This window comes from Homo sapiens, chromosome 20 (genome assembly GCF_000001405.40).
Source record: "Homo sapiens chromosome 20, GRCh38.p14 Primary Assembly".
NCBI classification, from domain to species: Eukaryota; Metazoa; Chordata; class Mammalia; order Primates; family Hominidae; genus Homo; species Homo sapiens.
The window spans coordinates 6,424,188-6,450,867 of record NC_000020.11 but is presented as its reverse complement, the minus strand read 5'-3'; the positions used below and the strand labels follow the sequence as shown (position 1 = coordinate 6,450,867).

General features: G+C 36.5%; 1 long non-coding RNA gene across 1 annotated transcript in view; it reads right to left on the bottom strand.

The window, feature by feature from the left end:
- The window catches only part of CASC20 (cancer susceptibility 20), a 101,728-nt gene extending 77,592 nt beyond the window's left edge, over positions 1 to 24,136 (bottom strand). Inside the window, exons 1-2 of the long non-coding RNA NR_109953.1 lie at positions 24,058 to 24,136; positions 4,045 to 4,145 (exon numbers count right to left, since the gene is read on the bottom strand). This is a non-coding gene — a long non-coding RNA (cancer susceptibility 20). The remainder of the gene's footprint in view (positions 1 to 4,044; positions 4,146 to 24,057) is intronic.
- Positions 24,137 to 26,680: the final 2,544 nt, after the last annotated feature.

Below are 26,680 nucleotides of genomic sequence, written 5' to 3'. Positions count from 1 at the left end.
GAATATTATGGATAGAAGGTGAACAGATAGAAGAAATCATCCAACCTTGAAATTCTTTTTTATGAGTAATGATGGAAGAAAACCGTGTACGAAATGAAGTTCATTTCTTCTGATTTAAGTTGTCACGGAAGCCAAGTTTTTGGGCTTCCACATTCATCAAATCGTATGCATTACACCTAGAATGAGCCTTATTTCAGAATTGAGTAGATTTTTAATAACTCCTCCCTTAACCCTGAGAATGATGAGCATGGAAACATTGTTACCACTAACTTTCAACAATTTTCTCCCAAACAACATGGCATAGTCTGTGTGTCTTAACATGACAGGCTCACGTCTTTCAGAAGTTTCTTCACAATTGCTGATAAGAAAATTATACCTAGTCCCAGGAAACAACAGATGCTGGTGAGGATATGGAGAAATAAGAACACTTTTACACTCTTGGTGGGAGTGTAAATTAGTTCAACCATTGTGGAAGACAGTGTGGCAATTACTCAAGGATCTAGAACCAGAAACACCATTTGACCCAGCCATCCCATTACTGGGGGATATACCCAAAGGATTATAAATCATTCTACTATAAAGACACATGCACACATATGTTTATTGCAGCACTATTCACAATAGCCAAGACTTGGAACTCAAATGCCTATCAATGATAGACTGGATAAAGAAAAATATGGCACATATACACCATGGAATACTATGTAGCCATAAAAAAAGAATGAGTTCATGTCGTTTGCAGGGATATGGATGAAGCTGGAAGTCATCATTCTCAGCAAACTAACATAGGAAGAGAAACCAAACACCACATGTTCTCACTCATAAGTGGGAGTTGAACAATGAGAACATGTGGACACAGGGAGGGGAACATCACACGCTGGATCCTGTTGGAGGGTGTGGGGCAAGGGGAGGGAGAGCATTAGGACAAATGCCTAATGCATGTGGGGCTTAAAACCTAGATGATGGGTTGATAGATGCAGCAAACCACCATGGCACACGTATACCTATGTAACAAACCTGCACATTCTGCACATGTATCCCAGAACTTAAAAAAAAAATTTAAATATTACCTGAAAAAAAAAAGAAAATTATACCTAATCCCCCACTCAGAACTAACCAGTGACTCAAATTCTGCCTAATATTTGTAGTAAAGGAACATTATTACCAAACTTACGACTTGAGGTAGTCCATCTTTATTAAGGTTTTGAGTCCCTATAAGCTACATGTTAACACTACAAGGAAAGTACTATCGTTACCACTTTACACAGGAGAGAAGCTGAAACACAGCGGTCGTACAACTAATAAATGGTGGAGTTGGGATCTGAACCTACACATCGGCTGAGAGACTGGTGCAACTGACCACTAGCATTTGACATTGTCAAATCTTTCCTGGATGACAATTCCAGAGTAAGACTGAATATTAATGTAAGAGAGTCCTGCTATGGTTTGAATGTCCTCTCCAAAATTCACACTGAAACTTAATTACCACGTAACAGTATTGAGAGGTGAGACCTTTAAGAGGTGATCAGGTTATGAAGGCTCTGCCCTCACGAGTTAATTAATGCCATGATCAGAGGAGTCAGTTAATTATCACAGGAGTTTGCCCCCTTTACCTCTTTCCCTTGTCATCTCTCTCACCATCTCTCAACCCGTCATGGCCTATGCCATGTTACGACATTGCAAGAAGGCCCTCACCCAATGGCACCCCTCAATCTTAGAATTCCCAGCCTCCAGAACCATGAGTCAAATAAACTTCTTTTCTGTATAAATTACCCAGCATGTGGTATTCTGTTATAGCAGCAGAAAACAGACTAAGATAATTTATTACAAAAGAGTATAATCTAAATGCTTATATATACAGTTGACTATTATTTTCCCTTTGTTGTTAAAGATGTTCTTAATCTCTTGTGTGTGTGACATTTTCCACAAATACCTGAAGTTAGAGGAAATTTTATCGAGATATAACGGTTGTAATATTAGTGATACCCTGAATTTTTAAAAATCCCTAGGGAGAATAAGGGGTTATAAAGACTATAAGATTTTACAATAACAAACATACTAGGAAGAAAGAAAAGTAAAGACCATTGGTTGGGTCACCAGTAACATTACTAAACATTCTTATGCTTGGAATCATACCAATGAATTGGCAAACTTACAGATCTTGGGCTAGGCACAAAAGAAAGCCTTTCTGGGCATCAATAAAAATAGAAAGTGATCCTAGAAAATAAACCAAAGAAAACATTTATCTAATATATACATAATGAATTAGAATATGTTGCCTTTTTATTGTACATATAACCCATGGACTCCTGCTTAATTCCCTTATTCTCATGTTCTACTCTATTCATCACTAGTTGGACCACTGACATCCACTCAACAAGCATCAGTTCTCAGATGACATTAAAGATAGGAGGTAGCAAGTAAATTCAGTATCTCCACTCAGTGGAGCTCAGAATCAGGTCATCCACCCTGCAGGATAATTCGGAATTATCCTCGTGATATATCCTTTAATTCTCTCCCCATAGCTGGACATCCAGAGCAATATTCTGATAATAAGTTGTCATGTCTTGCTTTCCACAGTCTACTGAAAAAGATTTATCTCCTATTCTGAGCTCCTGTTCCAACAACTCACACAGCCATTTTGTATTTGACCTCACTGGTCTCTTACCAAGGCTCCTGAGCATTGCTCCAAGTTGATATTTTTACTTCTGTGGTCTTGCCTTCTTCAGGGATACCTCCTATGTTATAGACCTGTTGGACTCCATTTTCCCTTTAGAAGTCAATGCTCTGTACCAACAGCATACCCCAGACACCATGGGTACTAGACACTGTTGGTGGCCCACCCAGATCCCCTTTATCCCAGTTCTGTGAGTGGTGTATGCTATGAGTAGCAGATGGTCCCGTTTTAGAGAATTGCCCTTGGCCAGGAGAAAAATCTCTAGAGGATGCCTGGGAGGCTATGATCCCCACCCTTGGGGGTATCCTGCAGCCAATAATTGACTCATATAAGGTAACAAATGCTTAGCCCTTTTGCCCCAAAGCAGGAAAACTGTGAGATGCCATTTATGTTCTAGAGTTTTCCATTGGCTCAAACTAGACATTAGCTGAACCCACATCTTTGCTTGGCTACCTGTCCTGCTTTCTTTACTTTTTTACAGATTTCTCCTGAGAGTTTTTTCCTCATTAAATCACTTATATAAGAATCTCCATCTCAGGTCCTGCAGAACCTGGCCAGAATGCAATGCTTTGACTGTCTGGATACCTTCTTTTCTGCCAAGCTCACTTTTCTGCATCTTTCTCATCTCTGTGGAGGGGTCTAAATGCTCCATGTTCATCCACTCTGCCTAACTCAGCCATGTAGACATTATAGTCATTGCAATGACATTTAATTACATTGCAAAGACATCATCCACATAGACATCACAGCCCATGCCTCTTGGACAAATAACAATGGAAAACAACTACAAACATTTTCTCTCCCTCTGGAGAATACTGAGCATTCTTGAACATACTTTACTAGTTTATCATAGATATGTGCAATACCAATTAAAATTAATCTTTAACTTCAAAGATGGAGAAACTATGTATCATAAAGACAGTAGAAAATCTATTATCAGAAGAAAGTAACCCAATAATTCAGTGACCACCCAGGAGCTGGTTTGATCTTTTTGGTCCACTTCTCTTTCTTCTCTAATCCCTGAGATTTCTAGTAGCTCTTTGAGAATAGTCTGAACACACCTAAAACAAAATCTGTTGTGGGATTTTTTTTTAACTCAGCTTATTAGGAAAATGATGGCTCAGAATGTGAGCCTATAGCCGTGGTCACTGACTTTGTGTAACTTCTCTTTTTCTTGATGAACAAAAACCACGCAAACACATTTTGGCTAGCTTTACTATTAAAAGCTAAATTGCTGGAATTTCTGCATCTAACAGTTTTAATGGTTCCCACATAAAAGGCATTTCCCTCAGCACAAGTCTGTGTTTGTCGCAATGAAAGTGACATAGCAAAGTGTGCTTTTACCAAGAGAAAATAATTAGGGTTACCTGATTGAGGAGGGGAGGGTGGTTATCCTTAGTGCTCACATGACCAATTAATGAGCACCATGTTGGTTATTTCAGCAGAGAGGATGATGCTGAACTTTGCCCTACAGGTACAGAGGCAATTGAAGAGAATGTTACTGCAAACATACTGTCAAAGTTAAGTGAAGAATCTCAAATGCCTATTTACACAAGGTAATGTGTGACATGCGATTTTTGGGGAGGAAGAGGGAGACAGTAATATATAGTCTGGCATGAATTATAAAATGGTTAATATTTTTGCCAAACTGTCATCAAAATAATAAAAAAACACCAAAGTTCAAGGTTCTAATTCCAACACTGCAGATATAGCCAGGGTAGCAAGTCACAGTGAATTATGATTGATGTTTGAAAAAGAAAAGAAGGAGATTGTGAGCTAAGTCTATGGCATTCATATTTTTATTATTATTATTATTATTTCTTAAAACATGTGAAGCTGAAGAAGAGATGACTTGGTTGTGTCTTTGCAAGAGGAGATTTAGTTCTAATTCAGGTAACCTAAAATAATATATTATTAGCTAACAGCTATTGATCACTTATTGTGTGTTAGACACAGCACTAAATACTTTCTATGGATTATCTTTTTAATCCTCACAACATCCCTACAGGGCAGAGACTATCATGGTACAGTGTAGTGGAGTGGGTTTTTAAACACGAGCATACAACAGAAGCATCCAAAGTACCGTTTAAAAACGGATCTTTGGGCCCTACTCCCAGAGTTTCTGAAGTAGGTCTGGTGTGCAGCCTACAGGTTTGCATTTTAAAGATCCTGGCTATGCGGAAGCTGCATGTTATAGGCATAATAACAGCATCTATTTTGTAGGGGGTTGGGAATGCCCTTATGACCTAGATCATGAAATTCTTGGCCTATAGCAGGTACTAAGAAAATGTTTACCAAATTATTTTACAGATGACAAAAACTAAAGCACCTAAAGATTAAGTTAACCATCTCACAGGTAGCAACTGTAGGGTCTGCTCCTGCACCTAAACCTCTCTCCAAGATGTTTTTTACCCTAGTAAACTATCTCTCAAATAATATTTTGAAAAAATATCTGATATGCTAGTAGCAAGAAACTAGAAAGCAGTGGTTCTTTACTTTTGGTTCACATTGGAATCAATGTGATTGATATTGATTCCAACGTGAGCCATAGCTAAAGGAAATGAGATAATTTTTAAAACTACTGATGACTGGGTCTCATTCCCAGAGACGCTGATATAGCTGACCTGGAATGTGACCTGAGTACTGGGTTCTTAAACTTCCCTGGGTGATTCTAATGCAACCAAAGTTGTACATCAGTTACATTCTAGAGCAGCAGTCCCCAACTTTTCGGCACCAGGGACTGGTTTTGTAGAAGACAATTTTTTCACAGATGGGGGTGGAGGGTGATGGTTTCAGGATGAAACTCTTCCACCTCAGATCATCAGGCATTAGTTAGAGTCTCATATGGGGTGTGCAACCTAGATCCCTCGCGTGTGCATTTCACAATAGGGTTCAGGCTCCTATAAGAATCTAATGTCCCTGATCTGAAAGGAGGTGGAGCTCAGGCAGTAATGCTTGCTCGCCTGCAGCTCACATCCTGCTGTGCAGCCCAGTTCTTAACAGGCCACGGACTGGTACCAGTCCACAGCCCAGGGACTTGGGAACCCCTATTCTAGAGACATAGACTTGCTATTCACTTCCCAAAAGAAGATTTCAAATGGTGGAAATAGAATTCACTGACTTGAAGCTATTCCAATCTGATATTAAAGCACTAGTAAATATCAATTCAATTGTGGATTATTTTAATGAGAGAAATGTTCCTATAACTATATGCAGTAAATCCTCACTTAATGTCATCAACAGGTTCCTGAAAACTGTTACATTAGGCAAAACAACGTACAGCAGGCCTTCAAATGACATCGTTTAATTCAATGTTGTTTTGTCATATAACATTGATGAGGAAAAAATTGGTTTCATTATAGAGCATTTTGCTTAAATTTGCAGTTTCAGGAATCTATTGATGATATTAAGTGAAGACTTACTGTATTCACATGAATACAGCAAAATAAAATTATTCTATACTGTCAAAGGCATCCTAGTATATATTTGTACTAATATTATTATTCCAAGTTTCTAGTGCCAGGATATTACTATAAACCTCCGTGTAACTGTTTATGTTACACTTTCACCATGATTTATGTCCTTCAACATTTGTAAAGTTTTGATATTCCTAACAGTGTCTTCTAGTGGGGCATTTAGTCTACTTTTGCCATTAATGTCTAATTTACTACTGTATTACCGTAGGCAAAATTACAGCAATAAGGCTTATTGAATAGTTCATAATTTCTTGACATAGATTAGTAAATCAGTTTCCTTAAACTGAAAGAAAAATTGCCTCTTGAAACAACTTAAAACCAATGCTCTTCCCATGGTTCTTATATTCCAGAACACTTGGAATTAAGATTTAAGTTAGTTTGTAAACATGGACTGTATAGTCCAGTCAACCTACTATCAAAGTGTATATATTTATTTTTTTAAGATACTTACGCAAAGCCAGAGTAATTCATGTTACCATTCCTATAGGCTCTGCATCTAGAAATGTCTTTTAAAAAGAGATTCAATTTTTTGGTTTCAGTATAGAAGACCAAAAATACATTTCAACCTCCCCCCTTATCTTAAGAGATGACAGGATAAACTACATAGAAGTGCATGCTCACAGGTACACACACACACACACAGACACACAGCGTTGTGCTAAAAACAAGAAATATACAAAATAAATTAAAAATTAAAAATATATATTTTAATTTGGATAATTCAACTATTGGTTAAGAGAGAGAAAAATCTATACATGTTGATTTGGAATAAAATCCAAAAGATGGAAAGTATAAAAGGCAAATTGATGGAAAAATACAATAGGAAAATATGATGTTTTCATTAAAAAAAAAAAAAACACTGTGTGTAGGTATTTATTTTAAAAGGGGGGAGCATTTTTAAAATACTCCAAGGGGCATAAACCGAAGTATTAGAACAGGTTATCTGGGTTTGTGCAAGAGTGATGATAGAACGGGACCAAAAATAGTATTTTTAATGTATGTACTTATGACTCATTTGAATTTGCCAAAACAGGTATATATTGTACAATATTTAAAACAATAATACAGACTATTTAGAAAAAAACACAATTGAGGTCATAAAAAGTTATTTACATGAAAATTTGGGAAACATATTATAGCAGAAAGAAATATCAATGAAACTGGAAGGAAAATACTTGGACTCTAGGATGAATAATGCCCATAATGAAAACTCGCATAGTCTTGACTTAAACTCTTCAATATGTAGGGATCACCAAGCCATGCTAGTATGTTAGAACTCCAGTCAAATTTCCTTTCATTGTTTAGGTAGTCAAGTTTCACATCATGAGGTTATAAACAGTTGAAATGTGTTTCCCACCATGTATGTCAAATGTATGTTTGAGCTCATCTACACAATACCTCGCTCCTGCCAGCAGAAGGAACTTTTAGAAGGCAAAACCAAGAAATATTTGCTTTCCTGGCTTTGAAAGTTCAAAATCAACAAAATATTACATCAAAAAATAGTTAATATACTACCAAATTATTATAAAATAAGCACTTGTGTTCAATTCTAAAATAAATAAGCAAACCAGAAGGAAGGAAGGGAGGAAGAGAGAGGAAAAAAAAGGAAAGGAAAGCAAACTCAACATTCCATTTTATTGATATCCTGTATGATACTTTTATTTGAGCCAATTTTTGACATGATCAAAACTTCTTCTTAGATTTCCTATTCTGGAATCATTGCTAGGAAAAGACAATTGTTTAGTTATAATAAATTATGTCCTTTGAGATGCTTGTTCCTAGACACCCCCAACAGCAATATAAAACAGCTTTGGTGTACTCGCCAGGTTGAGAGTGGTACAGCTGAAATACTGGATGGCATATGCAATTTCTGATCTCTGCACTTACTTGTCAAAGCAAAAAATGAAACAAAATCTTTGAAATGACACTGTGAAGCCCATTTTTCAGTCAGGGACTATCTCCAAATGGAAACAAGCTGGCTGTACCATTTAACTACAATTTCACTTCTGATTTATATCTAGCCTGCCTGAAAGTTTGGAATATTATATGGCACAAGATTGGAATTAAGTATGAGGGAGCTGGATAGTTCAATAAATAGTAAGTGCCGAATCCTCAAAGAAAATAGCTTCTTTAAAAATGACTGGCTTTTCTGTTAGACTCATCTTCAGTATTCCTGGAGGCAACTCTAGCTAAATAAATCTCAAGGCCCTCCCTAATTATATAAGTTCACCCCTGTGTCCAAGGAACCATAGTGTCACAATGGAGAACTTTGAAAGAAAACACAACTTTCCATTAAAGATCTAGAAACAATTTCCCAATAACTAACTTCAGGGGCAGAAACAAGAGACTGCACTTGATGTCTCTCCTATGGTGGGAGGTGCCAATATTAATACTGTTGTTTTGTTAAATTTATTAATTATAATGTGACTTAATCTCCTTGGGGTAAGCCACTGCTCCCTTGAGTTTCTCAATGAGGCTACCCCTCAGGGAACAGAGCCTATTAAGACCTGCAGACCTAGCTGGCCAGACATTTGTAAACCTAGCTGGTTTACATTTCCAACTAGATTCATGGGCCCAAGCATCACCTTATACACTTCACGGTCCTTTGATTTCATCTGATTAGGAGACATGACACACAGTTTAAAGAGAAAAAGAACTCTGGATATTCAAAGCCAAGGTCTAGGATATGCTCACTGAGAGATGTTCATCTTATTTGCATGAATTTTAGGTAAAGTCAGAAAAATGTGAAAATGTAATGGAAAGAATACAAATCTTGAGTTTAGATAGAAATCATTCAAATACCAGTCCTATCAAATTTTCCATCAAATAGGGATTATAATAACTTGGATGGGTGCTGAGGAGGGTTAGCAGTTTATATAATGCCTGACATAAAGAAGGCCTTTAATGAATGACAGCTATCATTGTTACTACAATTATTAAAGTGTGAAATTCAACTATTTTCTCTGCATCTAACTTTTGCTTTAAGAAAAACGTAGGCCAGACACGGTAGCTAACGCCTGTAATCCCAGCACTTTGGGAGGCCGAGGCAGGCGGATCACGAGGTCAGGAGATCGAGACCATCCTGGCTAACACAATGAAACCCCGTCTCTACTAAAAAAAGCATAAAAAAAATTAGCCGGGAGTGGTGGCAGGCACCTGTAGTCCCAGCTACTCGGAAGACTGAGGCAGGAGAATCGCTTGAACCCGGGAGGTGGAGGTTGCAGTGAGCCGAGATCGCGCCACTGCACTCCAGCCTGGGTGACAGAGCAAGACTCTGTCTCAAAAAAAAAAAAAGAAAAAGAAAAAGAACAACATAAGCTCCTCCCTCTTATATAATTATGCCAAATTAGCTGCCAGTTATCTGGATTCAAAACTCAGTCATAAGTCATATTCTAGGTAGAAATACATACGAATTGCTACTTTAAGAGATTTTATAAATATGTCTTTTATGATGTAGATTCCTTTGGACTCATTATGTCTGTTCTACCACACACCACCACCGTTTTTTATTGCCATCTCCATGAAATAAGTTTCCTATGGGGTATCTTGACATGACACTGTCTGGCCTTGTCTTGGCACCAATATATTATGTGAATAGTAAGTCATCTCTTCTTTTTCTCTTGAGAACAGGACAACTAAAATAGTGCTACTTTCCTTTATCCCAATTATGAAGTCAGACTGGCAGTGCTTTCTAGATGTTCTGGGTTGAATTGCGTCCCTCAAGAAGATACTGAAATCCAAACTGCCAGTAACTATGAATGTGACCTTATTTGGAAAGGTACTTTTGCAGATAATCAAGTTAAGATGAGGTCATTAGGGTGGGCCCTAATCTAATATGACTGATGTCCCTATGACAAGGGGACATTTAGACACAAAGAAAGACATGCACCCAAAGAGAATGCCATATGAAGATGATGGCAGAGGCCCTTGGCATCCACAAGCAAAGGAATGCCAAAGATTGCCAGCAAACAACCAGAAGCCAGGAAAGAGGTATGGAATAAGCTCTCCTTTGCAGCGCTGGGACGGCACCGACCTTGCCAGCACCTTGATCTTGGACTTCTAGCCTCCACAACTGTGAGACAATAAATAGTTGCTCAATCCACTCAATTCGTGGTACTTTGTTACAGCAGCACTAACAAACTAATACAGACGTTGATTTTGTATAAGGTTTTTTAGTATGTTCATGCTAATTTTTCTTATACCATTCTTAAAATTTGAGATATATATTAGAGTACTTGCATATCTATGACAATATGTCTATAGGCCACAAGGATCTATAGCTTCCAGTTTGAGAAACACTGTAAAACAGAACTTAATAATATTAATACCACATGTTACATGTGTCCCTCCCCTTCTCCTGGAAATGTAGTCCACAGGCAAAAAGACTTATATTAGAAGCTCTTTGGCATTATGCCAGATTCATGTACCAAATATTCTAAAGGGCAGAGTTCAAAGAAAAAATCCTAATAATCTGCTTTTTTAAAGCAGTCACATCCATTACATTGCAGCCCTTCCCCACGGTCCAGCAAGACCACACACTGGTTACCATTTACCAATATAGCAATGAGTTACTGTAGCATTGGAGGCTGACACTGGATTTGCAGTCTTAAAGGAAACATTTCAAAAAGCCACTAAAAGATTTGAGAAGAAAATCTGATCTCCATCAGTTTGTTTCCTGCATTTAGCAGAAACCTGCTTATTTGTTTAGCTCTGGGCAGGAGATATTGCTTCCCTTGATTTTTTTTTTTAATATTCCAAATGTTTGGTCTGAAGCCTTCAGGCTCTACTGCATTCTGTTTAGCCTATATTTAGAACAAAGCAAACACATGTGATTCTTTAGAACTAAGCACTTCTTCCAGTGGGCCCTGGAAAATTGCTAACCCCAAAATAAAACAATACCGCTTTCTTTAAATACTTCTGCTTACACTTACAGTGAGGAGATATTGACAGCACGTGTCAGTTTGAGTGACTGCAAATAAACAGAAGTGAAGAAAACATGGACTTTTGCTATTAAAGCCAGATTTATTTAGAGGAAATATATGACAAGTATCGTTATTTTCTCTAATAGCAATCTCAGGATATCTCACCCATGAAGAAAAGTTATGATGTCATTTGCACGACTTCTAAAGCTTTATTAACAAACAGCTCTCCCACATCTGATCCTACTGACCATTGATTCTAAATCAAGGACAATGAAGAAAGGTAAAGAAGACAGCCTGGTCTACTGAGAGAGAAAACCTACAGTAAGACAAAAATAAGCCACAAGCTAAAGTGACCCCATCTCTGCGAAGGTCTAAATTTACTCTCCACAAGTAGTAGCATCTGTAAATGCTGGAGGAGTTCACAATGGGGCACCCTGTGCAAGAACAGCAGGAAATTCCATCAAGTGGTCTTCACATTTTTCCCACAATTCCGGACCTACCACAAGTTCAAGGTTATGAACATAGGCAGAGAGTGAGGAGGTATGTGTTCTCACTCTGATCCCATTGTTGGGAGAGCTTTGAAAACTCACAAGCCTTCTGGGCCTCGTTCTCCCCATCTGTGAAATGATTGCCTTGGATTGGAGACTCTAAGGTTCATTTCAATGGCACAGTGGGGGAGAATTCAATTATCCAACTAATATTTACCAATTAAATTTGCTTTGACATTGTCAAACCAGCCATTTTTATATTTATTCAATACTTCTTTCAAAGTTCAGGTTCAACCCTTATTGTTAGTTAACACTTTTATACATAAAATCACATACCATAATGATTTTCTCAAGACATCATAAAAAAGCTTCCAATTAGCTTTATCAAAATTACAAGAGTTTCTGCACATTTAAATTTTGCTTTACAAATGGAAAAGAAAACCTGAAAATATAGACATTAATATTAATGATGGTTATCCTGGGCATGACAAATACTGGTAATTTGTATGTTCTTCATTGTACACATCTAAACTTTCTAAAATTTTCATAATTAACATGTATTTTATGTGTAACTAAGAAAAATAAATAGTACATTTTAAAGGTCTGTTTTAAACAATGCCATAAATCACACTATCACTCAAATTCTCTCTTTTCAGAGCACTTGGTATTTTATATTTATCTGCACTATTAGGATTAATGGTACTATAAGGGTATTATTTGCAGTTACTTTTTGCATTCATTTATTTTTAAACAACTGTTGAGATACATTTTACATATTTTTATAATTCATCCATTTTAAATGCACAATTCAATGACTTTTACTAAATTTACCAAATGATGCAACCATCACCAGAAATCAGTTTTAGAATATTTTATATCCCCAACAGGATGCCTCATTACCATTTACAGTTAATACCTTCTCCCAATGCAGCCTCAAGCAGCCACCATTCTGTTTGCCTTTTCTGAACATTTCATAAATATGAAATCATACAATATCATGATGTTGTCTGGTTGCTTTCATTTCATATAATGCTTTTGAGGTTCATCCTTAACGTAATATATGACAATTTATTCCTTTTCATTTAATAGTATGCCATTGTATATTTATGGCATTTTGTCTATCCATTCACCTTCCAGATGTTATTATAATTTTTATTAATATTCATTTTTAACAATATTTTTATTTCTACTATAGTGCTTTCCTTCTCCCTCTCTCAGTTGTCATTATTTATCAACTTTGTCACTCTAGAGTACAATGTCAAGCTACGTTTCTTTTTTCCAGGCTGTTGGAGAACTAAGGCTTCCTGCCAATAGGTAGAACTAATCTGCCAGCCACGTAAATGAGCCTTCTAGAAAACAGATCTTCCAGCCCTGGTTAATTTCCAGGTAACATCTTGACAATAACTTTATGAGATGCTCTGAGTAGAGCCACCCATCTAAGCAGCTCTCAAATTCCTGACCCACAGAAATCAGGTGAGATAATAAGTGTTTGTTTCTTTAGTCACTTAAGTTTGGATAATTATTTATGCAGCAATAGATAAATACAGACACTAGGTAGTCTTCTGTCTTCCAGAAATTAACGGAATCTTTGTTTTGCTTGTGTCTTCCAACCTCGCTCCCCATCCACTTTCAGCTTTATAAATTTATTAGTTTAATATTTCACTGCCATTTTAATAGGTTCAGAGAAGGAGATGAGAATATTTCCACGTTGTCCATTATCTTGAACCAGACAGACCTCAGACTATTTTTGTTTAAATGATGCACTTTCCTTAATGAAATCTCAACATCAACTGCTGGGAGAACCACTTTATCTACACAAAGTTGTTGGTCACAATCTATCCTTTGTACCTACTGATGACCTACTTTCTTTTTTTTTCTTTTTCCCCTTTATTTTACATTTAGGGGATACATATTTAGGGTTTGTTTTTACCCAGATATATTGCATGAGGCGTAAGTTTGGGGTATGAAGGATCACATCACCCAAGTACTGAGCATAGTAGCCATCAGTTAGTTTTTCAACCAGTGCCCCCTTTCCTGTCTTTCTCCCTCCCTTCTCTAGCAGTCCCCAGTGTCTATTGTTGCCGTATTTATGTCTGAGAATACCCAATGTTTAGCTCCTACTTATAAGTGAGAACATGTGGTACTCAGTGTTCTGTTCCTGCATTAATTCACTTAGGATAATGGCTTTCAGCTGCATCCATGTTGCTACAAAGGACATGGTTTCATTCTTTTTATGGCTGCATAGTATTCCATAATGTATATGTACCATATTTTCTTTATCCAATCCACTGTTGATAGGCACCTAGATTGATTCCACATCTTTGCTATTATGAATAGTGCTGCAATGAACAGGCAAATGCATATGTCTTTTGGTAGAACAATTTGCTATCTTTTAACAATCTACTTTCTTAAGGTAATAAGAAAATTTGTTAAAATTTCTGAAGAAGATGGAAAGGAACAACTGTGTGGACATGAAAATCACCTGGGCAATTTATCTAAAATGCTAATTTTCATACCTACTTATAAAGTTTCTTATATGGGAAAGTTTTGGTGCATTTTTACAGCAATATCATGGACAATGGAATAGAATAGTCCAAAAATAGAACAAACTAACCACAGAACTTTAGTACATGGTGACAATGACATCTTAAATAATTAGGTTAAAGATTAACTTTTAATAAATGGTGCTGGGCCAACAGGTTTACTAATTGAAAATAGATAAGACCAAATCCCTATCTCACACCATACATAAGAATAGACTACTATTAAATCAGGGATCTACTATTAAAAAATCTTTTTAATGTGTAAATTCTTTTATAACTTGGTGATAACAAAAGTTTTTCTAATTATGACTAAAATATGGATGCAATAAAAAACACCCCAGATGGTTCTGTTGCAGGCTATCCCCAGAGGTGACGCATAAGGATATCATAAATACATGTAGCTGAGAAGTATATGTGCGTACCATGTCTATTAGGCTTATGGTAAAAACTGAATTGAATTTTTATGATTTGTGTTGTGTACTGTATTTGAATGAACTTTTTTTAATTCCTAAAAAGACTAGACATCTCCTATTCATTATTTCACTCTTCACTAGACCACTTATTAAAAATCTCCTTACCTCAGCCAGGTGGAACTCAAAACAGGGTTTGTCCAACATTTATCTTGGTCAGGTTTTGGTTCTTCCTTCCTTTGAGTGTTTCCAATATCTTTGACAAATTGTCTCCTTCTCCCACACCATAAATGGCTTGTTACATAGTCAAGAGAAGCTTCTGAGGTCTTATATGTACCTTACAGAGATTAAACATTTCTTACCTCCTCTGAGAAAATGTCAGCCTCCAACAAAACAAAACTTGCACTTGAATTCACCAACCAGGCAAGAAAAAAAATCACTCCTCCAATTCCAGCCAATACTTAGTAGAAGAAGAGAGGATAGCTTTTTACCTAAGTATTATTTTCAAAGCAGCGAATTGTACAGCTTCACATTTAATAATATAATTACAGTTTACAAATATACTTGTAAGACTTGCCAGAATTCACTTGGTAAACCAGCAACATTACCACTTAAGCTTTCCTTAAAGGAAAGGCCATGTACTTAGAAGTGACCAGCGTTCCAAAATATTACAATCACCAGGGAATTGAATCCTGTATTTGTAAATGCCCTTTATGTGACAACCAACTGCTGTCTACTAAAAAGCTTACTACTCTTTAGTAGCTTCAGTTTATTTAGCGTGCTTCCACTATGACTCTCTAGGAAAACCTCTTATCTTGAATAAAAGTAAAGACATTTGTCATTGTCCCATTGGTCACTGTGAAGGAAAAAGCCTCTCAGAAGTAGTAGAAGCTACAAAATAAGCAATTTTTCATGGTGTGAAGTTAAGGATACAACTTGTTTTTCTTTTTCCTTATGGATAGCTGATTGTCTCAGTGAATAATTCATTCCATTCTCACTGATATCCATTGACAGCTCTGTTTTATATATAGGACTTTATATGAATTCTTCCACATTCTCATCATGTTTTTCTCCTTGTTTATCCTTGTAACATACCACTGTGTATAAATTAAGTAGTTCTACAATAAATCTTGATATTTTAAAGGGTAAGTCCTCACTCCACCCCACCACACCCATCCACGCACACCTTATTTATATTCTTTAGGAGTCTCCTGGCTATTCTTAACCCTTTGCTCTTCCATACAAAGTTTAGAAACAGCTTGTAAAGTTCTGCAAAATAGCTTACTGTGTTTTCATCAGAACAGTACAGGATCTGTAGATTATTTGGTGGAGACTTGATATCTTTAAAATATCAAAACTTCCCTTCCACAAACATAGTATATTCTCTACATAGTTTTTTCTTTAATGTCTTTCAATAAAATTGTATACTTTTCTTCAAAAGGTTCCTTACTGAATTTACATTTAATTCCAACTATCCTATATGATATCATCTATCATCCAGAATAGATAGTAGAGATAGACAGAATGATTGAGGGATAAAGAGATATATACTCACATACATAGACAGAATTACTATGTTAAAAGTCACCTTTTGAATTTTATTTTTTATTTTCTGTTAATCTATAGAAATGTCAATTACTTTATGTATTAATTTGGCATCCAGCATCTTTGTTAAGCTCTTATTAATTCTAATCATTTTTCTATTGTTTCTTTTGGATTTTCCAGTAGACAATCATAGCATCTATGGACAATGATATATTTGGTTCTTCCTTTCCAATCTTTGCAACACTTATTTATTTTTCTTCTGTTGCCATATTCATAGTTGATTTTGCTTAGTGTTTGCCTAATACATCTTCCATCCACTTTTTTAAACTTCCTATGCTCTTAAATTGTAATTACATCATACGGAGGCAATATATTGCCGGTTTCTGTTTTCTACACATATTTTTTTAGAGAGACTAGGTCTTGCTATGTTGCCCAGGTGAATGCCTTGGCTCAAGCAATTCTCCCATCTCAGCCTTCTGAATAGCTGAGACTACAGACATGTGACAACATGCCCAGTTCAGACTATTATTTTTGAATTGGCTAAAACCATTTATTTAATTGTTGGTGTATTTGGATTTATTACTACTATCTTATTTTGTGCTTTTATGTTTTCATTTCCCCCTTTCTTTTCTTACCTTCTTTACTATTAATTTTTCACCATTGGATTTTTTCCCCTATTACTTTTTCTCTTTAGGGATTGCCCTAAAATACTGAATAAGAAAATGTAATTCAATATAATATAGTAAATCAGTATATTTTTCCATGAGACCAAAACAGTGCCTTAAAATTATTTGCCACTTATTTCTCTTTTCACATTTCTTATTCAACACTTTAGTTTTATCTTATTTTTCTAACCTATAAATTAGATATTTATTTATGTAGTAAATGTTTATTTAGATAAACATGTACCATATTTTTGGCATGCAGTTGTTTGCATCAAAATAGCTTCTACTTGAGATTTTTACTTTTCCAGAAAGGCATATTTTAGAAATTTTAATTGAAATTTATAAGTAACATTTTTATGTTGATTTTTTTTCTTTGTCCTACACAGATGGGTTTATAGGATATTCAGTTTTAGATTGGCAGTAATTTTCTCTCAGAAAGTTGAAGATATCATTCTATGGTTTTCTGTTTCGTATTGTTGCTGTCAAAAGTCAGTTTGTAACCTTATTTTTGGCATTTGTAAGTAGTTTCCCCTTTTTCCTTGGTTGCTTTTAAAATAATTTTCTTGTCTTTGGTCTTGCAGTTTTATAATAATGTGTCTAACTATAGGTTGCCTTCTATTTATTCTACTTGAGATTCACTGGGCTTTGTGAAACTGATAATTCATGCCTTACATCGATTGTGGAAAATAGTCATTATCTCTTCAAATATTGCCTTTGTTCCATTATTCCTGTTTTATTATTCTAGAAATCCATTTATAAGCATATTAGATATTTTCATTCTTTAATCCTTTTCTTCTATCTTTTTTATATTTTCTATCATTTTATCTGTGTCACTTATTTATTTTTACATTCTAGTTTATTTTTTCTACAACAATACATGATATTGTTTAGCATTTCATTAAGTTTACAGGTTCAATTATTATATATTTCAGTTGAATTCAGTTGAAAAATTTTGCCTGGTCATTTTGACAGTCCCTTGTTCTCATTCTTATCCTTATGATCCTCTGGCCTCCCTGATGGTAGCTTTTTCTCTCATCCATTTGGTGATTTTTGGTGTTAAATTCATGCTTCTAGGAACTTCATAATGGGAAGTATTTATCTGATGGGCCTGATAAAATGTCCTTTTTCCAGATAATATTTGAGTTTGCTAACACCAGATACTTGGGAGGAATGCCAATCTGAGGTCACCATAAATTTTAGATTTTTTAAAATTTTTTGAGTAACTATTCCCTGAGTATTTTCCAAAACTGATATAAGACACCAAAAAACAGACTCAATAAGCTCAGAGAACATCTAGCAAGATAAATACCAACATACACTCACACACCTATACACAAACACAATGCTGGGGAAATCATATTCAAACTGCTGAAAATCGCATATAAAGAGAAAATATTAAAGGCAGCCAGAGGAAAAAGACACATTGTCTGCAGTAGAATAAAGATAAGATTTCTCATCATAAACCATGCAAGCAAGAAGACAAAGGAGTGGCATCTGTAAAGTGCTGAAACAAAAATCCTGTCTGATTAGAATTCCAAACCCAGAAAAAATACCTTTCAAAAGTGAAGAAGGAAGAAAAACTTTCTTAGACAAAAACTAAGAGAATTCATTGTTATCGAAATACTCTACAAGAAATATTACAGAAAGTGATATAATAACAGTTAAAACAGCTCTAAACAAAGAAAGAAAAAGCACTTGAAATGGAATAAATGAAGGTAAAATAATTTTTTCTTACTTGTAATTGCTATATGAGAAAACTAATGCAAAAATAGTGACAATTTATGTACATTTATAGCATATGTAAAAGTAAAACATATGGCAGTATTAGCATGTCTTCATTTCTCCATGAGAAAGATGAATTGGGAATATAGTGTTCTTCATACTGCATATGAAGTGGTATAATATTGCTTGAAGGCAGGCTCAGATTAATTAAAATGTATGTTGTTAACCCCAGGGCAATCACAAAATAAAAAAAGGTAACAGGAGATATAAATAACAAGTCAATAGAGGACATAAAATGAAATCATAAGAAGATTTAATTAACTTAAGAGAAAGAAAAAAAGGAAACTAAAAAACAGCATATGGAAAAATAGAAACAAGAAGATAGTAGATTTTAATACAATCATACTGGTAATCACTTTGAGTGTGGATGATCTAAACTCCCAGTCAAAAGAGAGACATTGGCAGACTGAATATAAAAGCCAAATTCAACTTTATGCTGCTTCCAACAAAGAATGGGCCCATCATGATTAAAGAAGACAGGGAAATCAGATGGTGTCATATAAGAAGCTGATCACTGATCCAAGCCTTTGGTATTTCTTCCTAGCTTCTCCAGATCTATGTGTTCCACCCAAATTATGTAGGTAACAAGACAAAAGAGATCCCCTAAGGGGATCTTGTCAAAAACTAAAAATAGTTAAGAAATTACTTTGCCTCACATACTTTTCCTCTTCCATCATTAGCCTACAATTCAGTAGGATATTACTAGGCTTTTATTTCATTTCATTTCAACAGAATTTATGTCAAAGTTTATAAATGGTTTATGTAAGATCTTTTAAAAAAAACATTTTGTGCAAACTCCTAAACCTTAAGGAATAGTCTATGAATAGCTGACACAAGAAAAGTAAATTAGCAAAGACTTACAAACCTCATGTGAAAGAGTCACAGACACACTTGATCAATTATGTCATATCAAATTAAAGAATTATCCATTCCGTGGAATATAATCACAGTGATGTTTTTATAAATGAAGAAGATGGGTTCCACATTTCTTTGTCAGAAATAATAACTAGAGGTAGAAACCCTAAAATCCCATTATGAGACTTGAGTTAAGGGGAATTATGGATGAAAATTATTAGGTACAAACTGAAGTAGCATCAAATGTTTCAGCCAACTTGAAAATACATGTGTGGGTACAAGGGTGGGGAAGTGAGGACCAAGATACTGAAGCTTCTGAGAGCTGAAGAAAGGGGCTAAACTGTGTTCAGGAAGAAAATAATTAGAAAAAATAATTGCAAACACTTATGATATACTATTCAGTTACATTGACTTATTTAAGAAAAGCAAAAATGTCTCGAAGGAATGACTTTTGAGTGATCCTCAGGGCACCCTTACACCTTTATATTTCTCATGCTTTATCTTAATAATTTACTTAATTGTTCATTTCCTCTGCTAGGCTGTGAGAATTATCTGAGGAGAGCTATATCATTCATATTTCCCCAGTGTATCCGCTGACTTTGTTAAATGAATAACATTTGCAGGATGGGGAAGACATGTCACATGTATTCTGCCTCCCTCATTATCCACAAGTCACTCTAAAATAATTACATCAAAGTAATCACCAAGGCCACCTAAGTAAAACTAGTATGAGACACTCATTGCTTCAAATAACCCTCAAAAAACACTCAGCCTCAAGTTCTTCATTCTATGACTAAAATTCTTTTAACAAAGAGAAAGAAAAACTAAAACTTCAAGCACTGTTGTATTTTGGTAGATAATTAGCCAATGAACCAGTGAAGATAAAGAACATCTCTCTGTATTAGTCAGCTTTCTGTTGTAATTATGCTGCATAACAAATAACCCAATGAACTCAGTGGTTCATATCAAACCTTTCTTTTGTTTCACTTTAATGTCTGTAGGATGGCAGGGGCTAATCTGATCTCATCTCAGATTCACTGTATTTAGCTTTGGCTGCCAGCTGAGTTTAAGTTTTTACCTCATGGTTAACCAGCATATAAACAGGACAGGTTCCCTTCATGGAGGATGAAAGAAGTGGAAGAGGTCAAGCCAAATATTGTAAGCACATTTTTACCCTAGGCTTACATCATGCTGAGTCCCACTCCTTTAGTAAAAACAAGTCATGTGGCCAAGCCCTGTAACAATACTCCAGGGCCAAGCCCTGGAGTGGAGAAATACACTCCAGATGTTCTAGGGGGAAATAGTACGATGTCCCATGGCATAGAGACTGAGCACGTAATTCCATAACAGACAGGTAGTGAAGATTGAGAACAATACTCAGTGCATTACTCAGAACTTTCCTGTTTTTGCAAGAGAAAGGAGAGAATAAAATGCTGTAGTATATCTAAGGATAGTTAGAAATGTGTAAAGCTGCACATTTTGAAGAAATAGTTCACAGATACCACATTTTAACCTAAGATAGACTCTACTTTCTTTCCCTAGGATAAATATAAGTCATGTATGCTCTAAAGCCCTTCTTCCAGTTCCTTAGACATAACATGCTTTCGGACAGGTTAAGACTGCCCTTTGCTAGAAATGTTCCTACCTTTACTCTTTCCTAGCTAATTCCTTATTTCTGCTGAAATGCTGCCTTTTCCCACCATCTCCAACTTAAGAACACCATTATAGTCTTTTACTGGAGTTTTATTCTGCTATATGGTGCTCATCTCAATTTGCAAGTGTGTGATTTTGTTTTAATGCCTTCCCTCGTTGTGAGCCACATGAGGGCTGGACCACAACCATGTTTCCACCACTGCAGCAAACATTAACCTTAGAAGCCGATAGACAATAAATAAATATTTGTTGAGTCAGTAAATGGACAATTTATTTTCAAATGGCAATTTTTGTTGCCAAGTTAAATTTGAATTTCAATCACACATGCTAAAGCAAACATCTTCCCTGAACTAAAAGGGCAACCACATATTGTCAAACATGATGACTTAGAGATCCTTTAGCATTGCACTGTCCAATATCGTAGCCACTGGTCATGAGAGGATATTTAAATTTGCATTTAAGTTAAATGTAAAATCCAGTTTCTCAGTTGCACTAGACACATTTGCAGTGCTCAAAAGCCACATGGGACTAGTGGAGATCATATTTGACAGCATAGATAAAGAACATTTCCATCATTGCAGAAAGTTTTTTTGGACAGTTATCCCATTCTGTTGGAATGCTTTGGAGGAATCATTCAAATACATAATCAAATTCTCTTCTGTTAAGGTATTCTAAACTAGTGTGAAGCTTCCCAAAACATCTTATTTGTAAAAATCTGTTTATAAACCTTGAGACTCTGATTCATCATGTTTGAAGCACTCTTGCCTGGCACACAACTCCTTAAGAAGTATTTGTAATTAAACCAAATAATTTTACATTTCCATGGACACAGGAAGGGGAACATCACACACTGGGGCCTGTTGTGGGGTGGGGAGAGGGGGGAGAGATAGCATTAGGAGATATACCTAATGTTCAATGACAAGTTAATGGGTGCAGCACACCAACATGACACAGGTATATATATGTAACAAACCTGCACGTTGTGCACATGTACCCTAAAACTTAAAGTATTAAAAAAAATGTATTTTCCAATAATGTTGACAAAAAGGATGTTCTAGTTTACTAAGTCTGACTCATCATCTGCCATTACTAAAATCAGCTCAGCCAGGTTTGCAAACTCCACAGAGTTATCTATGATTCTCTCTCCTTTTTTGCCCATTATATTAGGTTGGTACAAAAGTAATTACAGTTTTTGCGTTGTTGAAATTTGCTGTTTGATATGGGAATACATTCTTTAAAAAATGTGGTTATGTTATACATCATTTTAATGAGGATTTCTCACTTCATTTTTTTTGATAATGACATTACTTGCTTTTTATTTTATGTTTATTTTAGACTATGGAAATTATGTTTAAGACAAAAAGCAAATTTGAGCGATTTTCTTATTCAAGTTCAAAATGGGTCGTAAGGCAGAGGAGACAACTCACAACACCAACAACACATTTGGCCCAGGAACTGCTAACAAATGTATAGTGCAGTGGTGGTTCAAAAAATTTTGCAAAGAAGAGAGCCTTGAGGATGAGGAGCATAGTGGCCAGCCATCAGAAGTTAACAAGGACCAATTGAGAGCAACAATCAAAGCTGATCCTTTTACAACTACATGAGAAGCTGCCGAAGAACTCAACATCACCCATTCCGTGGTCATTCGGCATTTGAAGCAAATTGGAAAGGTGAAAAAGCTTGATAAGTGGGTGCCTCATGAGCTAAGCGAAAATAAAAAATAAAAAAAAGTCATTTTGAAGTGTCATCTTCTCTCACTCTATGCAACAACAATGAACCATTTCTTTTTTTTTTTTTTTTTTTTTGAGAGAGAGTCTCGCTCTGTTGCCCAGGCTGGAGTGCAGTGGCATGCTCTCGGCTCACTGCAAACTCTGCTTCTTTGGTTCAAGAAATTCTCCTGCCTCAGCCTCCCGATTAGCTGGGATTACAGGTGCCCACCACCACGCCCGGCTAATTTTCATATTTTTAGTAGAGACAGGGTTTCACCATGTTGGCCAGGCTGGTCTCGAACTCCTGACCTCAGGTGATCCACCCGCCTTGGCCTCCCAAAGTGCTGGGATTACAGGCGTGAGCCACCGCACCTGGCCTCATTAGCCATTTCTTAGTAGGAATTGTAACATGTGATGAAAAGTGGATTTTATAGGACGACCCGCAACAACCAGCTCAGTGGTTGGATCTAGAAGAAGCTCCAAAGCACTTCCCAAAGCCAAACTCACACTAAAAAAAGGTCATGGCCACTATTTGATGGTCTGCTGCCAGTCTGACCCACTACAGCTTTCTGAATCCTGGTGAAACCACTACATCTGAGAAGTTATGCTCAGCAAATTAATGAGATGCAACGAAAACTGCAAGGCCTGCAGCTGGCATTGATCAACAGGAAGGGCTCAGTTCTTCACAACAATGCCCGACTGCACATTGCACAACAAATGCTTCAAAAGTTGAACGAATTGGGCTACAAAGTTTTGCCTCATCCACCATATTCACCTGACCTTTTGCCAACCAACTACCAGTTCTTCAAGCATCTCAGCAACTTTTTGCAGGGAAAACGCGTCCACAACCAGCAAAATGCAGAAAATGCTTTCCAAGTGTTCATCAAATCCCAAAGCACAGATTTTTATGCTATAGGAATAAACAAACGTATTTATCATTGGCAAAAATATGTTGATTGTAATGGTTCCTATTTTGATTAATAAAGATGTGTTTGAGTCTGGTTATAGTGATTTAAAATTCACAGTCCAAAACCACGATTACTTTTGCACCAACTTGGCCTTAACTCAGAACTGTCAACTATTGTCTCCTTACTTCTCTCTGTGTGTCTCTTTTTTTTCATATATGCCATGACACCTACAGGCCAGGCTCTTTTAAGCTCTTGTTTGGATGATTTACAATTGATATTACTTCTAGACACTCCCCTGCCAGTCCATTCTATAATCAGCTGTCAATTAAATAGGACCTTATTGCATCACTTTCCTGCTCAAGTAACTTTCTAAGATACTTATTAGCCAGCATTTAAGACTCTTGACATTATGTTCTCAGCTTACCTTCCTAATAATCCTAATAATATTCCCCCCACTCCCAACTTCTGCAGGCAGATTCACGTACTCACTGTCTCCCAAGCACACCAAGGCCATTTCAGCCTCAGCACATTTGGTCTCACCACTTCCCCCACTGATTGTTCCTTTTCTTCCTCTACAACTTCCTCAAATGTCTCTAACTCTCATTGCCTCTTCTTTTTAATAACTTTTGAAAATGTGCTTATTTATATTGTTCTTTTGGGTCTGAATCATATACTCTTCCTGTCATCCCTTATATTATCATCATCATAAATATTAGTATTATAATAAATGGGTTTTTTTTGCTTACATAGCAATATGTTAACATACCCTTTTCTTTCCTGACATAAAATAAGCTCTTAAGAGTAGATATGTTGTATTACTTCCTTTAGCACCTCACAGAATTTAGGACAACATAATACTACAGAGACAGAGAGAAAGAGAGAGAGGGAGAAGGGGAGGGAGAGAGAGGGAGGATGGGGAGAGAGAGACAGAGGGAAAGAGAAAGGGAGACAAGAGAGAGAAGAAGAAAGAGAAGGGGAGAGGAAAAGTGGAAGAAGAGGCAGAGAGAAAAAGAAGGGAGTGGGAGAGGAGGAGGAAGGGAGCGAGTCAGGGAGAGAGGGAGAAAGGGAGGAAAGAGGAGAGAGAGAGAAGGGGGAAAGACTGGAGATGGCGGTGGAGAAAAAAGAGGGGAGAGAGGAAGGGAGGGGGGAGAGGAAAAGAGAGGAGAGAGAGAAAGAGGGGTGTGTGTGTGTGTATATATATACACACATAGATATATACACATGTGTACATACATATATTTAAGGAGTATATATACACATTATAAGTGTACGTATTATGTATACATATATGAGTGCCTGTGTGTGCACATAAATCCACATTTAATGAATGAGCAAATGAAAAAGTCTGCTTCATTCTCACAGGTTTGCCTTGACTTCTTAGCATGTGTCTTTAATTTTTCTGGTAAACATTCAGGATATCACATAGGAAAATCACATATCATGCCAGAAACCACTTAACAATGTGGGCTCAAAACCGCCATGCCAAGGCAATTACTTCCTTCAAAATGTCATCTTTGGTCTCTTCCTTTTTATTCTTGCTACTTTATTCACAGAACTACCACTCTCTCCTCATTTAAAAAAATGTAATCTTAAAATCCAAGCCCTGTGGTCTGAAGCCTATTTTATAAGAAATCTCTTTCTTTTGGCAATCAGATATTGAGAAACAGTACAAAAATGAATGAGAGACTATATCAGTATTCAACTATACATATATGGTAAAAAAGAAAAACTGAAGCTCTGTGTTCACTCAATTCAAACAGAAGCTTTTACTTTAACATACTGTGCAGCTTAAAGAAAGAGATGACATCAAAACATATGAAATCATGTTAGGGTCATGCTTGGGCATCAATTAATGCCTTCTGTCACAATGTTGACATACTTCTAAACTTTTCATTCTTAAGTCCTTTGGAGAAAAAACACTACTGTCAATTCTCAAGCATTTATATTTAAAAAAAAAACAAAATTTGAATAACCCCAAGTAATAAATAAGCAACAATTATTTAAATTTGATATTCAAATATGTTCTAACATTTTAATATGTGTGTGCCAAGCTTTTCAGGAATTCTATGTCAAATAGAACCCTGACACCAGATCATGAAGACCTAGACAAGTTTAGAGGTTGTCCAAAATCTTTCTTGTCTTTTCTCTCTTTTTTTTTTTTTTTTTGAGACAGAGTCTTGCTCTGTCACCCAGGCTGGAGTGTAGTGGTGCGTGATCTCACTGCAACCTCTGCCTCCTGGGTTCAAGTGATCCTCCTGCCTCAGCCTTCCATGTAGCTGGGACTACAGGCACGTGCCACCACGCCCAGCTAATTTTTGTATTTTTATTAGAGAGAGGGTTTCGCCCTGTTGGCCAGGCTGGTCTCGAACTCCTGACCTCAGGTGATCCACCTGCCTTGACCTTCCAAGTGCTGGGATTATGGATGTGAGCCACTGCACCTGGCCCAAAATCTTTCATACTTGCCATTTCTTACCCTTTTTCCACTTTCCTCTCCCAGCCTGACTGGAAATAATCTGATAAAAGATTTGTCTTCTCTCAAATCTCCCTTGCTTAAAAGAAAGTGAAGACAGTCAAGCATTTTTCAAAGGTCTTTTCTGAATGCAAAACAAGTAAATATTTGAGATGTCAACAATATTACAATTGTTGACATAGGTGCAATAGCCTGTGCAATAGGTAGAATCCATAGGTGCAATCACCTGTGGAGCCCTTCTCTGTAACCCTCCGTGCCCTCTCCTTGTCATTTTTATCCAGAATTTTAGTTCCACCTTTAAAAAATATTAATAATATTTACCAATACGGCTGGACGTGGTGGCTCAAGCCTGTAATCCCAGCACTTTGGGAGGCCAAGGGAGGAGGATCATCTGAGGTCAGGAGTTCAAGAACAGCCTGCTCAACATGGTAAAACCCCATCTCTACTAAAAATACAAAAATTAGCTGGGCGTGCTGGTGGGCACCTGTGATCCCAGCTACTCAGGAGGCTGAGGCAGGAGAATTGCTTGAACCCAGGAGGCAGAGGTTGCAGTGAGTCAAGATCGCGCCACTGTACT